Source organism: Homo sapiens, chromosome 8 (genome assembly GCF_000001405.40).
Source record: "Homo sapiens chromosome 8, GRCh38.p14 Primary Assembly".
Lineage (NCBI taxonomy): Eukaryota > Metazoa > Chordata > Mammalia > Primates > Hominidae > Homo > Homo sapiens.
This window is the reverse complement of record NC_000008.11, coordinates 27,044,299-27,063,430: the sequence shown is the minus strand read 5'-3', so window position 1 is coordinate 27,063,430 and position 19,132 is coordinate 27,044,299. Positions and strand designations below refer to the sequence as shown.

At 38.8% G+C, this 19,132-nt stretch overlaps 1 non-coding gene across 1 annotated transcript; it reads left to right on the top strand.

Annotated features, from left to right (window-relative positions):
- The first annotated feature begins 14,467 nt into the window (after positions 1–14,467).
- MIR548H4 (microRNA 548h-4) lies at positions 14,468–14,578 on the top strand. Its single transcript, NR_031680.1, has one exon. It is a non-coding gene; the product is annotated as a microRNA 548h-4 (primary transcript).
- Positions 14,579–19,132: the final 4,554 nt, after the last annotated feature.

Here is a 19,132-nt window from a genome sequence, read left to right as displayed (position 1 = left end):
GCACAGATAAACAAAAGGCAGCAGTAACCTCTGCAGACTTAAATGTCCCTGTCTGACAGCTTTGAAGAGAGTAGTGTTTCTCCCAGCACACAGCTTGAGATCTGAGAATGGGCAGACTGCCTCCTCAAGTGGGTCCCTGATCCCCAAGTAGCCTAACTGGGAAGCACCCCCCAGGTAGGGGCAGACTGACACTTCACATGGCCGGGTACTCCTCTGAGACAAAACTTCCAGAGGAACAATCAGGCAGCAGCATTTGCAGTTCACCAATATCCGCTGTTCTGGAGCCACTGCTGCTGATACCCAGGAAAACAGGGGTCTGGAGTGGACCTCCAGCAAACTCCAACAGACCTGCAGCTGAGGGTCCTGACTGTTAGAAGGAAAACTAACAAAGAAAAAGGACATCCATACCAAAAACCCATCTGTACATCACCATCATCAAAGACCAAAGGTAGATAAAACCACAAAGATGGGGAAAAAACAGAGCAGAAAAGCTGAAAATTCTAAAAATCAGAGCACCTCTCCCCCTCCAATGGAACGCAGCTCCTTGCCAGCAATGGAACAAAGCTGGACGGAGAATGACTTTGACAAGTTGAGAGAAGAAGGCTTCAGATGATCAAACTTCTCCAAACTAAAGGAGGAAGTTCAAACCCATTGCAAAGAAGCTAAAAACCTTGAAAAAAGATTAGACGAATGGCTAACTAGAATAACCAGTGTAGAGAAGTCTTTAAAGGACCTGATGGAGCTGAAAACCATGGCACGAGAACTACGTGACGAATGCACAAGCCTCAGTAGCCGATTCGATCAACCGGAAGAAAGGGTATCAGTGATTGAAGATCAAATGAATGAAACGAAGCGAGAAGAGAAGTTTAGAGAAAAAAGAGTAAAAAGAAATGAACAAAGCCTCCAAGAAATATGGGACTATGTGAAAAGACCAAATCTACATCTGATTGATGTACCTTAAAGTGACGGACAGAATGGAACCAAGTTGGAAAACACTCTTCAGGACATTATCCAGGAGAACTTCTCCAACCTAGCAAGGCAGGCCAACATTCAAATTCAGGGAATACAGAGAATGCCACAAAGATACTCCTCGAGAAGAGCAACTCCAAGACACATAATTGTCAGATTCACCAAAGTTGAAATGAAGGAAAAAATGTTAAGGGCAGCCAGAGAGAAAGGTCGGGTTACCCACAAAGGGAAGCCCATCAGACTAACAGCTGATCTCTCGGCAGAAACTCCACAAGCCAGAAGAGAGTGGGGGCCAACATTCAACATTCTTAAAGAAAAGAATTTTCAATCCAGAATTTCATATTCAGCCAAACTAAGCTTCATAAGTGAAGGAGAAATAAAATCCTTTACAGACAAGCAAATGCTGAGAGATTTTGTCACCACCAGGCCTGCCCTACAAGACCTCCTGAAGGAAGCACTAAACATGGAAAAGAACAACCGGTACCAGCCGCTGCAAAAACATGCCAAATTGTAAAGACCATCGATGCTAGGAAGAAACTGCATCAACTAACGAGCAAAATAACCAGTTAACATCATAATGACAGGATCAAATTCACACATAACAATATTAACCTTAAATGTAAATGGGCTAAATGCTCCGATTAAAAGACACAGACTGGCAAATTGGATAAAGAGTCAAGACCCATCAGTGTGCTGTATTCAGGAGACCCATCTCACATGCAGAGACACACATAGGTTCAAAATAAAGGGATGGAGGAAGATCTAACAAGCAAATGGAAAACAAAAAAAGGCAGGGGTTGCAATCCTGTCTCCGATAAACAGGCTTTAAACCAACAAAGATCAAAAGAGACAAAGAAGGCCATTACATAATGGTAAAGGGATCAATTCAACAAGAAGAGCTAACTATCCTAAATATATATGCACCCAATATAGGAGCACCCAGATTCATAAAACAAGTCCTTAGTGACCTACAAAGAGACTTAGACTCCCACACAATAATAATGGGAGACTTTAACACCCCACTGTCAACATTAGACAGATCAGTGAGACAGAAAGTTAACAAGGATATCCAGGAATTGAACTCAGCTCTGCACCAAGCGGACCTAATAGACATCTACAGAACTCTCCACCCCAAATCAACAGAATATACATTCTTCTCAGCACCACATCACACTTATTCCAAAATTGACCACATAGTTGGAAGTAAAGCACTCTTCAGCAAATGTAAAAGAACAGAAATCATATCAGGCTGTCTCTCAGACCACAGTGCAATCAAACTAGAACTCAGGATTAAGAAACTCACTCAAAACCACTCAACTACATGGAAACTGAACAACCTACTCCTGAATGACTACTGGGTACACAATGAAATGAAGGCAGAAATAAAGATGTTCTTTGAAACCAATGAGAACAAAGGCACAACATACCAGAATCTCTGGGACACATTTAAAGCAGTGTGTAGAGGGAAATTTATAGCAGTAAATGCCCACAAGAGAAAGCAGAAAATATCTAAAATGGACACCCTAACATCACAATTAAAAGAACTAGAGAAGCAAGAGCAAACACATTCAAAAGCTAGCAGAAGGCAAGAAAGAACTAAGATCAGAGCAGAACTGAAGGAGATAGAGACACAAAAAACCCTTCAAAAAATCAATGAATCCAGGAGCTGGTTTTTTGAAAAGATCAACAAAATTGATAGACCGCCAGCAAGACTAATAAAGAAGAAAGGAGAGAAGAATCAAATAGATGCAATAAAAAATGATAAAGGGGATATCACCACCAATCCCACAGAAATACAAACTACCATCAGAGAATACTATAAACACCTCTATGCAAATAAACTAGAAAATATAGAAGAAATGGATAAATTCCTGGACACATACACTCTCCCAAGACTAAACCAGGAAGAAGTTGAATCCCTGAATAGACCAATAACAGGCTCTGAAATTGAGGCAATAATTAATGGCCTACCAACCAAAAAACATCCAGGACCGGACGGATTCACAGCTGAATTCTACCAGAGGTATAAGGAGGAGCTGGTACCATTCCTTCTGAAACTATTCCAATCAATAGAAAAAGAGAGAATCCTCCCCAACTCATTCTATGAGGCCAGAATCACCCTGATACCAAAGCCTGGCAGAGACACAACAAAAAAAGAGAATTTTACACCAATATGCCTGATGAACACCGATGCAAAAATCCTCAATAAAATACTGGAAAACTGAATCCAGCAGCACATCAAAATGCTTATCCACCATGATCAAGTGGGCTTCATCCCTGGGATGCAAGGCTGGTTCAACGTATGCAAATCAATAAATGTAATCCAGCATATAAACAGAACCAAAGACAAAAACCACATGATTATCTCAATAGATGCAGAAAAGGCCTTTGACAAAATTCAACAGTACTGCATGCTAAAAACTCTCAATAAATTAGGTATTGATGGGACATATCTCAAAATAATAAGAGCTATCTATGACAAACCCACAGCCAATATCATACTAAATGGGCAAAAACTGGAAGCATTCCCTTTGAAAACTGGCACAAGACAGGGATGCCCTCTCTCACCACTCCTATTCAACATAGTGTTGGAAGTTCTGGCCAGGGCAATCAGGTAGAAGAAATAAATAAAGGGTATCCAATTAGGAAAAGAGGAAGTCAAATTGTCCCTGTTTGGAGATGACTTAATTGTATATTTAGAAAACCCAGTCTTCTCAGCCCAAAATCTCCTTAAGCTGATAAGCAACTTCAGCGAAGTTTCAGGATATGAAATCAATGTGCAAAAATCACAAGCATTCTTATACACCAATAACAGACAAACAGAGAGCCAAATCATGAATGAACTCCCATTCACAATTGCTTCAAAGAGAATAAAACACCTAGGAATCCAACTTACAAGGGATGTGAAGGACCTCTTCAAGGAGAACTACAAACCACTGCTCAATGAAATAAAAGAGGATACAAACAAATGGAAGAACATTCCATGTTCATGGATAGGAAGAATCAATATCGATAAAATGGCCATACTGCCCAAGGTAATTTATCCATTCAATGCCATCCCCATCAAGCTACCAATGACTTTCTTCACAGAATTGGAAAAAACTACTTTAAAGTTCATACGGAACCAAAAAAGAGCCTGCATTGCCAAGACAATCCTAAGCCAAAAGAACAAAGCTGGAGGCATCACACTACCTGACTTCAAGCTATACTACAAGGCTACAGTAACCAAAACAGCATGGTACTGGTACCAAAACAGAGATATAGACCAATGGAACAGAACACAGCCCTCAGAAATAATACCATACATCTACAACCATCTGATCTTTGACAAACCTGACAAAAACAAGAAATGGGGAAAGGATTCCCTATTTAATAAATGGTGCTGGGAAAATTGGCTAGCCATATGTAAAAAGCTGAAACTGGATCCCTTCCTTACACCTTATACAAAAATTAATTCAAGATGGATTAACTTAAATGTTAGACCTAAAACCATAAAAACCCTAGAAGAAAACCTAGGCAATACCATTCAGGACATAGGCAAGTGCAAGGACTTCATGTCTAAAACACCAAAAGCAACGGCAACAAAAGCCAAAATTGACAAATGGATCTAATTAAACTAAAGAGCTTCTGCACAGCAAAAGAAACTACCATCAGAGTGAACAGGCAACCTACAGAATGGGAGAAAATTTTTGCAATCTACTCGTCTGACAAAGGGCTAATATCCAGAATCTATAAAGAACTCAAACAAATTTACAAGAAAAAAACAAACAACACCATCAACAAGTGGGCAAAGGATATGAACAGACACTTCTCAAAAGAAGACATTTATGGAGCCAACAGACACACGAAAAAATGCTCATCATCACTGGCCATCAGAGAAATGCAAATCAAAACCACAATGAGATACCATCTCACACCAGTTAGAATGGCGATCATTAAAAAGTCAGGAAACAACAGGTGCTGGAGAGGATGTGGAGAAATAGGAAAAATTTTACACTGTTGGTGGGACTGTAAACTAGTTCAACCATTGTGGAAGACAGTGTGGCGATTCCTCAAGGATGTAGAACTAGAAATACCATTTGACTCAGCCAACCCATTACTGGGTATATACCCAAAGGATTATAAATCATGCTGCTATAAAGACACATGCACACGTATATTTATTGCAGCACTATTCACAATAGCAAAGACTTAGAACCAACCCAAATGTCCAACAATGATAGACTGGATTAAGAAAATGTGGCACATATACACCAGGGAATACTATCCAGCCATAAAAAAGGTGAGTTCATGTCCTTTGTAGGGACATGGAAGAAGCTGGAAACCATCATTTTCAGCAAACTATTGCAAGAACAAAAAACAAAACACCCCATGTTCTCACTTATAGGTGGAAATTGAACAATGAGAACAGCTGGACACAGGAAAGGGAACATCACACACCAGGGCCTGTTGTGGGGTGGAGGGAAGGGAGAGGGAAAGCATTAGGGGATATACCTAATGTAAATGATGAGTTAATGGGTGCAGCACACCAACATGGCACATGTATACATGTGTAACAAATCTGCACGTTGTGCACATGTACCCTAGAACTTAAAGTATAATAAAAAAATTGAACTGCACACAAGAAAAGACTACTCTTTCCCCATTGAATTACTTTTGCTCCTTAATCAAAGACCAGTTGATTATATTTGTGTGGGTTTATTTCCAGACTCTCTCCTCTGTTTCATTGATCTCTTAGTCTGTCCTTTCACTAAGACCACACTGTCTTCATTATTATAGACGTACAGTAAGTTTTGAATTCCAGTAGTATCAGTCCTCTGACTTTGTTCTTTTTCAGTATTGGGTTGGTTTTTCTGTCTTTTGCTTTTCCATTAAAACTTTAGGATAAGTTTGTTGATATCCACAAAATAACTTACTTGGATTGCAGTATACTTTTTTTTTCTTTTTTTTTAAGAAACAGCATCTGGCTACATTGCCCAGGCTGGACTGTAGTGGCTATTCACAGATGCAGTCTTAGCTCATTGCAGCCTCAAACTCCTGGGCTCAAGCAATCCTCCTGCCTCAGTCTCCTGAGTAGCTGGGACCACAGGTGCACATTACCATGTCCAGTTTGCAGTACACTTTTATCAGAATCATCTCTTATAGCATTCTCTTTTTTTTTTTTTTGAGACGGAGTCTCGCTCTGTTGCCCAGGCTGGAGTGCTGTGGCGCAATCTCGGCTCACTGCAAGCTCCGCCTCTTGGGTTCATGCCATTCTCCTGCCTCAGCTTCCCGAGTACCTGGGTCTACCAAGCCATCACTGTTCTAGTTAGATCTAATAGTTTCCTAGTTAATTCTCTTAGATTTTTCTGTCTCCTCCTTTCTCATATTAATTACTCTCATTTCAATTTCATTGTATTGGCTAGCCCTTTGGAGCAATATTAAATAAAAACTGTATTTGTAGGCATCTTACCTTGTTTCTCTATTTGATAATAATAGGGATGTGTTTATTATTTCACCTGTAGGCTTGACATTGCTGTTAGTTTAAGATAAATTTTGTATCCTGTATTGTCAGTAACTTTCTCTCTGTGATATCCTGAAAACTTTTTTTTAAACTCATCTAATAGATGTTGCCTTTTATCAAGTATGCTTTTTGCATCTCTCAAAATGACTGCTTATGTATCTTGTCATATTAATATAATCATATATATCAAGCTATTACTTCAACTTGAACCCTCCTTGAATTCCTAGTTTAAGTTTTTCTTCAATTTATGTGGGGAATTATTTATTTTACTATACCCAGGCTTTAAGTTGTTAATGTCGTCTTTAATATTTTTGTACGTATATTCATAAACGAGATTAGCTTTAGTTTTATTTTTTAATAATCTTTGTCTTCACTATACTGTCAAGCAATCTAAACATAAGAATTATCTGTTCCCTGACAGTTTGAAAAATGTTATCTATAAGCCTGTCTGAATCTGCTGCTTTCATAGAGAGTTATTCTTTGATAAAACTCCTGCAATTTATTCTCTGATGAATGTCTAGCCAGGCTTTTACAAAATGTGTTTGTATTCGACTTTAAGCATTTGTATTTCCTGAGAAGATTACCAATTTCAGTGATATTTTTAATACTGAGGCTGTATGTAAAATTATCTCATAGTTAAGAAAATGTCCGCTGATCTGTTTTTGTGTTCCCTTATTTAACTTTCTATTGCTGTGATTTGTCTCTTTTCTTGATTAAATTTCCCAAGAACCAGGTTTTGAATTTGCTTTATTTGAAATCAATTTTTCTATTTTTAAAAGTTTATATTAATTATTATCAATGTTTCCTCCTGCATCACCAGGTTCCTGTTTTATTTACTTTGATTTCTTGAGTTGAATGCCCAATTAACTTGCATTTATTAGTTCATGTTTAATTAGAAAAGTAGAAAAAGTTGTCAAGTTTTTTTCTGAATACAACTTATCCACAGCATTTAATTTTTCATATATGATATTCTCATTGTGATTTTTTTCATAATATGTGAGAAGAGGGGTATTCTTTTTAGAAAAATGAGAATAAAAATCAAGCCAAAAAATCACCTGTAATTCCACCAGATGAAACATCTGTTATTTAGTTTTGACAACAATTTTTTAAAAATTCTATATTTCAAAACCCATAATGAACAAGACTTAAAGAGAAAACTGGGAAAAATATCTGCAACATATATGAGAATATTAGTATTTTTAAAATAAAAACATCTCCTGTAATGCTTTAAGAAAGAGTAGAAGGCTCCAATGAAAGAGCAGACACACAAAAAGCTGTGTTGGCCAAAAAGCGTATTTTTAAAAAAATCTGTTTCACCTTGCAAACAAGTAAATGTGAACTAAAGACATGGTGAGAACCTTGTTTTACTTTTAAATTAGCAAAGGTTTTCTTCTTTAGTTATAAGTTCAAGGTTGGCACAGTTTTAAGGAAACAGGCTCTCTCACCATCTTTTGATAACATCGAAAATAAGTAATGAAAGCCATAAAAATGGTATACAGGAAAATAACTATATGTGCCAAAGATTTAGCTAAAAGGTATTTACTATAGCTACAAATAATAAACAACCTGAATGTGAAATAAATGGGGATTGGCTGATTTAATTATGCTAAAGTAAATTAATGGGTTAGACAGCTATTACAAATGATACTGCAGAAAATATTTATGGAAAAGGAAAGGACATAATGACATATTGATACGTAAGAAGACAGGTTACAGGCCAGGCACTGTGGCTCACGCCTGTAATCCCAGCACTTTGGGAGGCCAAGGCGGGTGGATCAGAGGTCAGGAGATCGAAACCATTCTGGCTAACACGGTGAAACCCCGTCTCTACTAAAAATACAAAAAATTAGCCGGGCATGGTGGCGGACGCCTGTAGTCCCAGCTACACGGGAGGCTGAGGCAGGAGAATGGCGTGAACCTGGGGGGCTGAGCTTGCAGTGAGCCGAGATCACGCCACTGCACTCCATCCAGCCTGGGTGACAGAGAGAGACTCTGTCTCAAAAACAAACAAAAAGACAGGTTACAAATGTATTTATTGTACGATCTCATTTTGGAAAGACAAAATAAATACGTGACCTATCTGAATTTGAAAAAGCTTATGCATACGTATATTATGGATAATTTTCTCCTCCTCCTTCTCCTTCCAACACTTCATCCTCTTTCTTTGCTTGTTATAAAGTTGGGGACGAAGCAAAAATTAGGACATATAAAAAGTGCCCATAATTTCTTCAGGAAAATGCTTTCATAAATATTCCAGGCTTTTTCACATAACATCATTATATCTTCAGATTTGGCTATTAGAAGGTCACCATGGTTATTTCTACCAGAGATATTTCAGAAGAATGGAGAGAGTAGAAGTCTATTGGAAGTGAGTGGAGGACTGAACACACAAGGGTATAGGATGATCCAAGAGCAGACAACTGTTTGAAAAGTTTAATAAGAAAGCATAAAGACACAAAGGACAGAATCATTGGTGGAGAGGACCTCCTTCAGGGCAGAAATAATACTCCTTTGTTACCTAGTGCAATTTGGGGCATATTAAATGTTGAATTTGTTTAAATTTAATTCATAAACACCTTTTTTTTTCTTTTTTTTTTTTTTGAGACAGAGTCTCGCTCTGTTGCCCAGGCTGGAATGCAGTGGCTTGATCTCGGCTTACTGCAACCTCTGCCTCCTGAGTTCAAGTGATTCTGTTGCCTCAGCCTCCTGCGTAGCTGGCATTACAGGCATGTGCCACCCGCTCGGCTAATTTTTTGTATTTCTAGTAGAGACAGGGTTTCGCCATGTTGCCCAGGCTGGTCTTGAACTCCTGAGTGCAGGCAATCTGCTCACCTCAAACTCCCAAAGTGCTGGGATTACAGGCCTCGGCCACTGCGCCTGACACAAACACTTGTTTCTAAAGACTTAAGCTAGCAGATGGCAGACAACCTTTTAATTTTATTTATATTCTCCCAAAATATCTACCATATTTTAATAAGCACTTTTATTTTTAATTGAATTTTTTATTGAGAAACTGTAGATCACCAGAATGGGAAGAAATCACACAAAAATCACACTTTATCCAGTTTCTGCAATGGTAACATTTTGCAAACCCATATCACCACCAGGATATTGACTTTGACACAATTTGCTGATCTTATTTAGGTTTCCCTAGTTTAACTTGCACTTATTTGTGCATATGTGTATTCTATACAGTTTTACCATAAATTTAGTTTTGTGTATTCACAACCACAGTCAAAATAGTAAACCATCACCAAGAGGATTCCTCACCCTGCTCTTTTTTGACAACATCCACCTCCCTTCTGCCAACACCCACTCCTGGTCCCGTATGCTTAGAAACCAGTAATCCATTCTCCATTTCTAAAATGTCATCATTTCAAAAATGTTATATAAATGGAATCACACAGTATTTTACCTTTTTGGATAGGCTTTCCCTCAGCATAATACCCTGGAGATTTTGTAAGTGGCCATGTATCTCAATAGTTCATTCTGTTTATTGTTGAGTAGTATTTTATGGTATGGATATACCACAGTGTGTTTTTTTTAACAGTTATTTACTGAAGTACATCTGGACTGATTCCAGTTTTTGGTGATTATGAATAAGCTGCTATGAACATTTATGTAAACAGGTTTTGTGTAAACTTACATTTTCATTTCTCTGGGATAAAAGTTCCAAGACTGCCATTGCTGCGTAATACGGTAATTTCATTTTCAGTCTTGTAAGAAACTGCCAAACTGTTTTCTGTAACTGTTCCATTTTTACATAATATATTTCCATCAGCAATGTATAAGTGATCCGTCTTTTCCACATTCTCACCAGCATTTGATATCACTATTTTTTTACTCAAACCCTTCTGATAAGTATGTAATGACACCTAGTTATAGTCTAAAGTTGCATTTCCTTGATGAGTAGTGATGTTGGACATTATGTTATGTGCATGTTCACCAACTGTATATCCTCTTTAGTGTTCATGTGCTTTGGCCACTTTCCAATTGGATTGATTTTTCTTTTTACTGTTGGTTTTGAAAGTTTTAGAAATATATTCTAAATACTTGTCCTTTTTTGGAATCGTTTGCAAATATTTTCTCCTAGGATGTAGCTAGTCTTTTCGTCCTCTTCACTGAGCTTTTGCACAGCAAGTTAAATTTTGATTAAGTAAAATTTGTCAACTTTTTCTCTTATGGATCGTGCTTTTTTTGTCAAGTCGAAGGCTTTTTGGGTAATTGTAGGTCCTGTCTTCTACTTTTTCCCAAGAGCTTTAAAACTGTACATTTTACATTTTGTCCCTGATCCATTTTGAGTGAATATTTGTACGATGTGTGACGTTTAGGTTGAAGTTCATGTTGTTTGCCTTTGGATGGTCAGTTGTTCCAATGCCATTTGTTGAAAAAGCTATCCTTTCTCCATTGAACTGCTTTGGATCTATGTCAAAAATTAGGTGAGCATATCTGTATGAGTCTGGATCCTGGATTTTTTTTTTCTTTTCCACTGATCTATGTGTCTGCCCCTTTGCCAATACTATGGTGTCTTGATTGTCTCGATTACTCTAGCCATACAGTTACATGTTAATAATCAGCAGAGTAATTCCTATATTTTATTCTTGTTTGTCAAGATTACTTTAGCTATCGTAGGGTCTCAAACTTTTCATATAAATTCTAGAGTAAGCTTGTCTTTCGCAACGAAAACTTTGCTGGGATTTTGATAGAAATTGCATTAAGCATATAGAGAATTTGGCCAGAACTGACATCTTTACTATGTTGAGTCTTAAACTCGGTATGTTTTTCCATTTAGCTCCTTGATTTCTTTCATTTAATCTTTAATTTTTGACAATTTAACTATGATGTATCATGGTGTCTCTTTGGATTTGTCATCTTTTATGTCTTATGGGTTTCCGGGATCTGGCTTTCTAATGTCTTCCTGAGACTTCGGAAGTGTTCTGCCGTCATTTCCTTGATTATGTTTTATATCCCTTTCTCTGTTTCTTTTCCCTGTGGCACACCAATAATGCATAATTTGTTCTGCTTAATGGTGTCCCATTGGTCTCTTCATCTATAATTACCTCTTTTTATTCTTTTTTGTTTTTGCTTCTCAGACTGAATGATTTCCAGTGATCTGTCTTCAGGTTCACAATTTTTCCCCCTGATTGTTCTAGTTTGTTATTGAACCCCGCTATTGAATTTTTTAATTCAGTTATAGCATTCTTCAGATCTATGATTTCCATGTGATACTTTTTTATACTGTATCTTTGTTGAAGTTCTCAGCTTGTTCTTGGATTGCTGTCTTGACATCTATGAGTAACCTTATGGCCATTATTTAGAATTTTCTGTCAGGTAAATCACAAAACTCCACTTCATTCAAGTATGTTTTTGGAGATTTATCTTGTTACTGTTTGTTTTGTTTGTTTGTCTTATTGTTTGTTTGTTTTGTTCCTATTTCTTTCTTTTCCTTGATTTTCAGTATTGGTTTTTTTACATTAGGTAGAAACCTACTTCTTAGTAGACTGAGATTGCATAGAAGGTTTCTACCAGTCCGTTTGACTAGAGATTTTAAGGTGCCCCTCTTATTTCGGTGTTTGTTCAGACTGCTGTGCCTATACCAGAAGGTCTATGACATCTTATAGTACTAGAAGTCTTATCATGACATTTTTGTTAAAAACTTAGAAATTGATTTCTGAAAAGATTTTACAAATGTAGTGAGGTATTTTCTGTATTTTATCATACTAAATAATCTCCAAATAATCTGATAAATGAGCATAGTGTTCAGAAAAAACCTCTTTTAATGTGATGAATCTTTTATAGATTTAGGCATATTTATGGCAAACCGACTATGCTGTATCAGTCCCCCTTCACACCCCCGAGGCTCAACTGAGATTTACCATTGGAATTAATTGTGAATGGCTTTGTCTCAGGACTATAACATATTCCAAGCTAGAGGTTTCAGGAACAAAGCGTCTGCATCTGTCTTTGTCTTTAGCCCTCACGTGAGGAGCCCATTTATTAGCCTTCTTTATTAATTTTTTATATGGAGAAGTGACTCAACATGTACTAGACAGCCAAATAAATTACTGATCATCTCCTTCTATGCACAGTTTCATATTACCAAAAACTATACGCATATATGAGTTAAACAATTTGGTAATATGTTAACAACATAATATCTAGAAGTATCTCACCACTTAAAACATACGTGCACAAACACACATATTCAATCTTGTTGGCTTTTATTTGTTTCAATACTATAATTCTATTTTTGATATCCCTTCAATTATAATTTAGTTTCCATTGTTATGATATATAAATATATTTGTGCATAGACTATTTGGATATTTTATATTTGCATTAACTAAAAATTTTCACCGCATTTTTGCATGCATAATTTTGTTCTATTTCTTTCTCAATTTTGCTTTAAAAAGTATCTTCATTTTGCAGATGTGCAAGCTGAACAGAGGATTAGAACTTATTTTTTCTAAAAATCTAACAGTTAACTTCTAGCAGCATTGAGACCAGAATATAGATCTTCTGACTCCAGGCTCTTTGCGGTAAACATCAATCCCTCTGTGGCTAATGTCCAAACACAAGATGAAAGAAAACGTGGAGCAGAATACAAAAGGAATTATTTCATGCTGCATTCAGAGGTGTCATTCATACCCAGGAAGCACTTTTAATTACCAATCTGGTGTTAATTTTCTTATCTGTGTCTCATCTGTGACTAAACATTATCCAGCCCAGGCTGATAAATTCTGATATGAATCAGATATTATTTCAAATTTATGCTTTAGCCATACCCATGTAAGCAGTCTCCTACCCCATATATCTCATTTACAGAGACTGTTTATTTGTAGTTAACTTTTAAAAATTCAGATTCATAGAATTACAACTATAAATTGCCAAACATGTATAGAATTATTATTATACAGAAAATAATATCAGTGTCATTATATCCAATTAATCTTTCATTCAGAATCTTGTGCAGAACAGATTAAATTGAGAACTTAATTTTTTACACATTCACGATTTAACCAGAGAATGTGGCTCTATTTTATATTAACAAATAATTTCTTTGTTTATTCAATAAGCAGTATTCATTGTATTATTAAAAAATGGTCTACTCATAAGGTTTTAAAACAATTGAGTCTATTTATTTCTTTTCCCCTCATGTGTTAATATTTTTTTTGCCTAGTGCTTTAGAAAATATATGACCTAGAAAGCAGCCTAATTCTTGTCACAGCTGCAACCTTACTGATGCAGAAAATTTGGCATTTATATACAATGAAGCTGTCTCTAATGCTTTGTCCACCTTCTAGAATCCCCTTTGTTTAATTACTATGTTTGGAGCCTCAAAAAGGGCCTGCTTTCAGGAATAAGTGGATGGGAATGAGGGGATGCTGATGTGTGAATAAAACGGTGATATAAAAGAAAATGGCTAATTCCCCCCTCTGGCTGAAGTCTGTGGAGGTTGTTCTGCCTGTCACTGATAGCTGTGTGAGTCAGTCTCCAATTTGGGAATTACAATCCTGACCCACCCCCACACCAGGATTGCCCCTGCTACACGTTTCCATGGTGCCAAACTTCCCTGTCCTAGCACGTGATGGCAATTGCTTCTGCTTTCCCTGATAGATGTGCAGGGTTGGGGACAATGCTTGCCTTCCCAGAGTCACATCAATATCTCGCACAGAGCTGGCACATGGCGGGCCCTTCATAAATGCTTGTTCAATGAAAGAATAAAGACAGTTTAAAATTTGAGCTCATTTCTGCCTTTTTCTTTTTAATAGCTTTATCAAAGTATAAATTGATAGACAGAAAAACCCCACATGTATTTCATGTGTACAATTTGATGAGCTTGGGTATACATATACACCCATGATATCATCACAATCAAAATGATAAACATATCCATCGCCTCCAAAAGTTTCCTCTGCCCCCTGCTTTTTGTGGCAAGTGTACCACAGAAAACTTGAAGCCAAACTTGTGATCCTTCGTTGTTCCATTTCCAAAGCTATTAGGTTGGTGCAAAAGTAATCGCGGTTTTTGTCATTACTTTAATTACTTTACGTTTCATTAATGACAAAAACCGCAATTACTTTTGCACCAACCTAATACTTGCTATCATCACTTCTTGTCTATTTTCCATTCCTCTTATAAATGTTGTACAAACTAAATCACACTTAAATAAAATAAATGGGAAATAAAGAAAAAGGAAAAAAGGATGAATGCAGGGAAAAAACACTGCCTGGGTCTGTCTTCTGTCATTCCCCAAAATAACAAGCACAAGCCCTGATATTCATATTCCCAGCATTCACCAGTTGCCCTTTTTTTTTTTTGAGATGGAGTTTCACTCTTGTCGCCCAGGCTACAGTGCAATGGCGTGATCTTGGCTCACTGCAACCTCCACCTCCCAGGTTCAAGCGATTCTCCAGCCTCAGCCTCTCGAGTAGCTGGGACTACAGGTGTGCACCACCATGCCTGACTAATTTTTGTATTTTTAGTAGAGATGGGGTTTTGCCATGTTGGCCAGGCTGGTCTCAAACTCCTGACCTCAGGTGATCCGCCAGCCTTGGCCTCCCCAGATCCTGGGGTTATAGGCGTAAGCCACCCTGCCCGGCCCAGCTGACTTTTATCTTGAGTGACAGTTTTAGAGAAAGGAGGAGGAGGAAATTAGTATATATGGCAGTAGTATGACATTTCATGATCTTAAAAATAGATTTCACCAACTGTAGAAGGTGTTCCCTAAACTAACTGCCTGTGTAGTCTTAATCTTCTCAACGTAACAACAGGTAGTCCATATTGTGGCAGGGTTGGGAGGTGGTGATGGAAAGGGGAGGTGTGAATTCCACAAGGTCTGAGACTGGGACAGGAAGTCTCCATTTTGGCAGTGCTGGTGGGGTAAGAAAGGGCTAATTAGAAGAAAATGCAGAAGCTGAAGTTGAAAGATCAGGCAAAGGCAAAATACTGGTCTAGTAGGAAGTCCAGATCATGGTCAAGTTGGATGGCTTCAGAGGGAGCTATTCAGATGGGCTCCAAAAGTGTCAGCGATCTTCTCTGATAAGCTACCCAAGCTCAGGGCAGGGATACTGATGCTCATTTTATGGTAAGAGCCAGCAAATGAGATGCACTGATTCCACGTTTGTGGATTCTAAACAGCATTTTGCCTTCCTTCTCTATAGTCCTCTTTGCAGCACTCCACGTTACCACCACGGGCATCCCAGATGTTCCTCCTTCATAAACACCTCTAGTTGTTCGCTTTCCCAACTCATCCCTTTTCCCAGCCTCAAGGAAGATAAATCAGTTTTGGGCATTAACTTCCATCCAGTGCACTGGGCTGAGGAATCAGCATGGCTGATTCTGCTATCACTTTCACGAAGCCTGGGGGCAAATGAGGGGAGTAGGGAGGGGTTGGGACCAGGGCACACACATATTGTGAATCTAGGAAGAATCTTAGGATTAAAGCTGTTGCATTTTCCACTTGTATTGAAGCCTTGGGGGTAATGGCTATCCCTTTACCACACTCTCCACCTGACTAAGCTCTCTTCAGCAGAACAATCAACCCAGGCTATGGCTGACTTCATCCAGGGAGACCTAAATTTTTCCATTTACTAGGACTTCTTGGACTTTTTTTTTTCTTTTAATAACCATATAGTCAGCTTTACCCACAATGCATCACCTCTTGTCATCCTCAGACACAACGTGAGACATAAGTTGCACTGACCAACTGAATCCTTCTAGTCTCATCCTCTCCTCTGAGATCTTCCTACTGCTTCTTTTACTATTAAGTCCTCTAGAATCCCTATGCTATGAAAAACACAATCCATACAATTTCACCCTGAACATCTCCACTTGGACACAATAGACATCTCAAACTTAACATATCAAAAACAGAACTCCTTTTTTTTTTCTTCTTTTTTTTTGATACAGGGTCTTACTCTGTCATCTAGGCTGGAGTGCAGTGGCGCAATCTCGGGTCACTGCAGCGTCCACTTCCCGGGCTCACGCGATTCTCTTGCCTCAGCCACTTCAGCAGCTGGGATTACAGGTGTGCACCACCATGCCCGGCTAACTATTGTATTTTTAGTAGAGATGGAGTCTTGCCATGTTGAGCAGGCTAGTCTCGGACTCCTCAAGCCATCTGCCCTCCTCAATCTCCCAAAGTGCTGGGATTACAGGCATGAGCCATTGTGCTGCCCTAGAATTCTTTATTCTATTCCAATCCTTTCCCCAATCTATTTCTGCTTCACTTGGCTTCCTATTATTGAACAGTTACACCATTCTTCCAGCTGCTCAGGCCAAAAACTTTGGAGTCATCTGTGCTATCTTTCTTATTTTCTAACCCACATCTAAGTCCTCAGCAAGTCCTGTTGACATTTCCTTGAAAAATACAGCTCAAGTTGAACTGCTTCTCATCACCTCCACAGCTACCCAGAGGAAGCTGACGTATGTTCTCCTAACTCAGCCCCACTTTTTCTGTTTTTGTTCACCTATGCTCTATTCTGTTCCCAGCTACTGAAATGATCCTTTTTTTTTGAGACAGAGTCTCGCTCTGTCGCCCAGTCTGGAGTGCAGTGGTGCAATCTTGGCTCACTGCAAGCTCCACCTCCCAGGTTCACGCCATTCTCCTGCCTCAGCCTCACGAGTAGCTGGGACTACAGGCACCTGCCACCATGCCAGGCTAATTTTTTGTATTTTTAGTAGAGACGGGGTTTCACTGTGTTAGCCAGGATGGTCTCGATCTCCTGACCTCGTGATCAGCCCACCTCAGCCTCCCAAAGTGCTGGGATTACAGGCGTGAGCCACTGCACCAGGCCGAAACAGAATTCAGAGCATCTTATTCTTCTGTTTTAAACCTCACAGCTTTCCATTTCACAATTAAAAATTTTTACACCCTTACTTTGATATATAAGGCCTGTCTAATCTGATTCCCAGCTATGTTTCTGACACATCTGTGTGATAATAAATGGGTAACACCTGGCTCCCCATATGCCATCCTGGCATGAATGTTGGTTGATATTTTCATACATGTTAACAAGTAAGACAAGAGTAAGAGAATAAAGGAGTGTGTTGGAATTTCCCCATGTGTCGACAACAAGAGGATGTTCTTTGCCAAACTGGATAACAGTTTTCAAATACTGGAAGAATATTTCCTCAATTTTTTGTGCTGTTCAAATGTAGCATGAAACTCTTCTACATTTAATCTGAATTATTAACATTTTCTCCACCTCTTCCTTAAGTCTAGGCAATCAACAAAAATTAAGGTATGCCTTGATTTGTACCATTTGTCCATTTCCATTGTGTAATTCTCCTACGGTGGCTGATTTCAAGCTAACAAGTCAACCACACTGAACTCGGAGCTGGGAAGAGATGCACAGGACTGAAGCATTATATAGTATTTCCACCTTACAGACACTCAGATATACATAACTTCAAGGGCATAGATAACAGTAAAAATGTAGCAAACTAATTAGGAAGTGGTGAGTTTTAGTTTTAATGTGATATGTTCAGTTATAAGTTTATATGATTTAATGTTTAAGAATGGCTGTGTTTAGCAACCGTCTGGCAAAATTCCTGAAAACTTAACAGTTGGCTCTGCAAACCAGTGTAGGCTGGCTCCTACATACCACTTACCACCGTTCACTGTGCCTCTGCTACCCTGTGCTCTTTGCTGTGCTTTGAACACACAGCACTTTCCCAACTCAGGGACTTTGCACTTTCTGTTCCCCATGCCTAGAATGCTCTACCTGCATGCCTTGCTCCTGTCTTCATACCTTTCATACCCTTCTCTGCTCAAGTATCACCTCCTCAGTAAGGTCATCTCCACCCATCCTGACTCCCCAACACCCGCCATCCCCTTCCCATGCTTCCACTGTTTCTCGTAGCACTGATTACTCCATGATGTTCTCTTATTTCCTTGTTTACATGTTTATTCCCTATCACACAAAAATAGAAGCCCCATAAGATTAGAGAGTTAGTTTTCACTGCAGCCCTAATGCCTAAAAGAGTTTCTGGCCTACCATAGAGATTCAACAGCTATCTGTCAAATGTTTTGGGACCAACTCAGTATTTTATTTATTTATTTATTTATTTTGAGGCAGAGTCTCATTCTGTCACCCAGGCTGGAGTGCAGTGGCATGATCTTGGCTCACTGCAACCTTCACCTCCCAGGTTTTAGCGATTCTTGTGCCTCAGCCTCCTGAGTAGCTGAGACCACAGGCGCCCACCACCATGCCCAGCTAATTTTTGTATTTTTAGTACAGACATGGTTTCATCATGTTGCCTAGGCTGGTCTTGAACTCCTGGCCTCAAGTGATCCACTCACCTTGGCCTCACAAAGTGCTGGGATTACAGGCATGAGCCACTGTGCCTGGCCAGGACTCAGTACTTCTTTCTCCTCCATGGCATAACTGAAATCTACCCTAGAGACCTTCACAGGTGGGATGCCATTCTTAGTCACAGAAGCCACTTGCACCAAAACCACTTACAGTGATAGAAATAAAACGGCTTCCAGGTTGGGAGATGGAGATAGTATTCTCCTCCCTTTCCCAAGTCTCTTCTGAACTCCTGCTTCTTTGAGAGTTAGGCCATTTCTCTCTGCCCCCCAGGGTCCACCACATCTTGTTTCCATAGGTCTGCTGGTCACTATCCCTCAAACACTGAAGGCTTTGCCTCCAT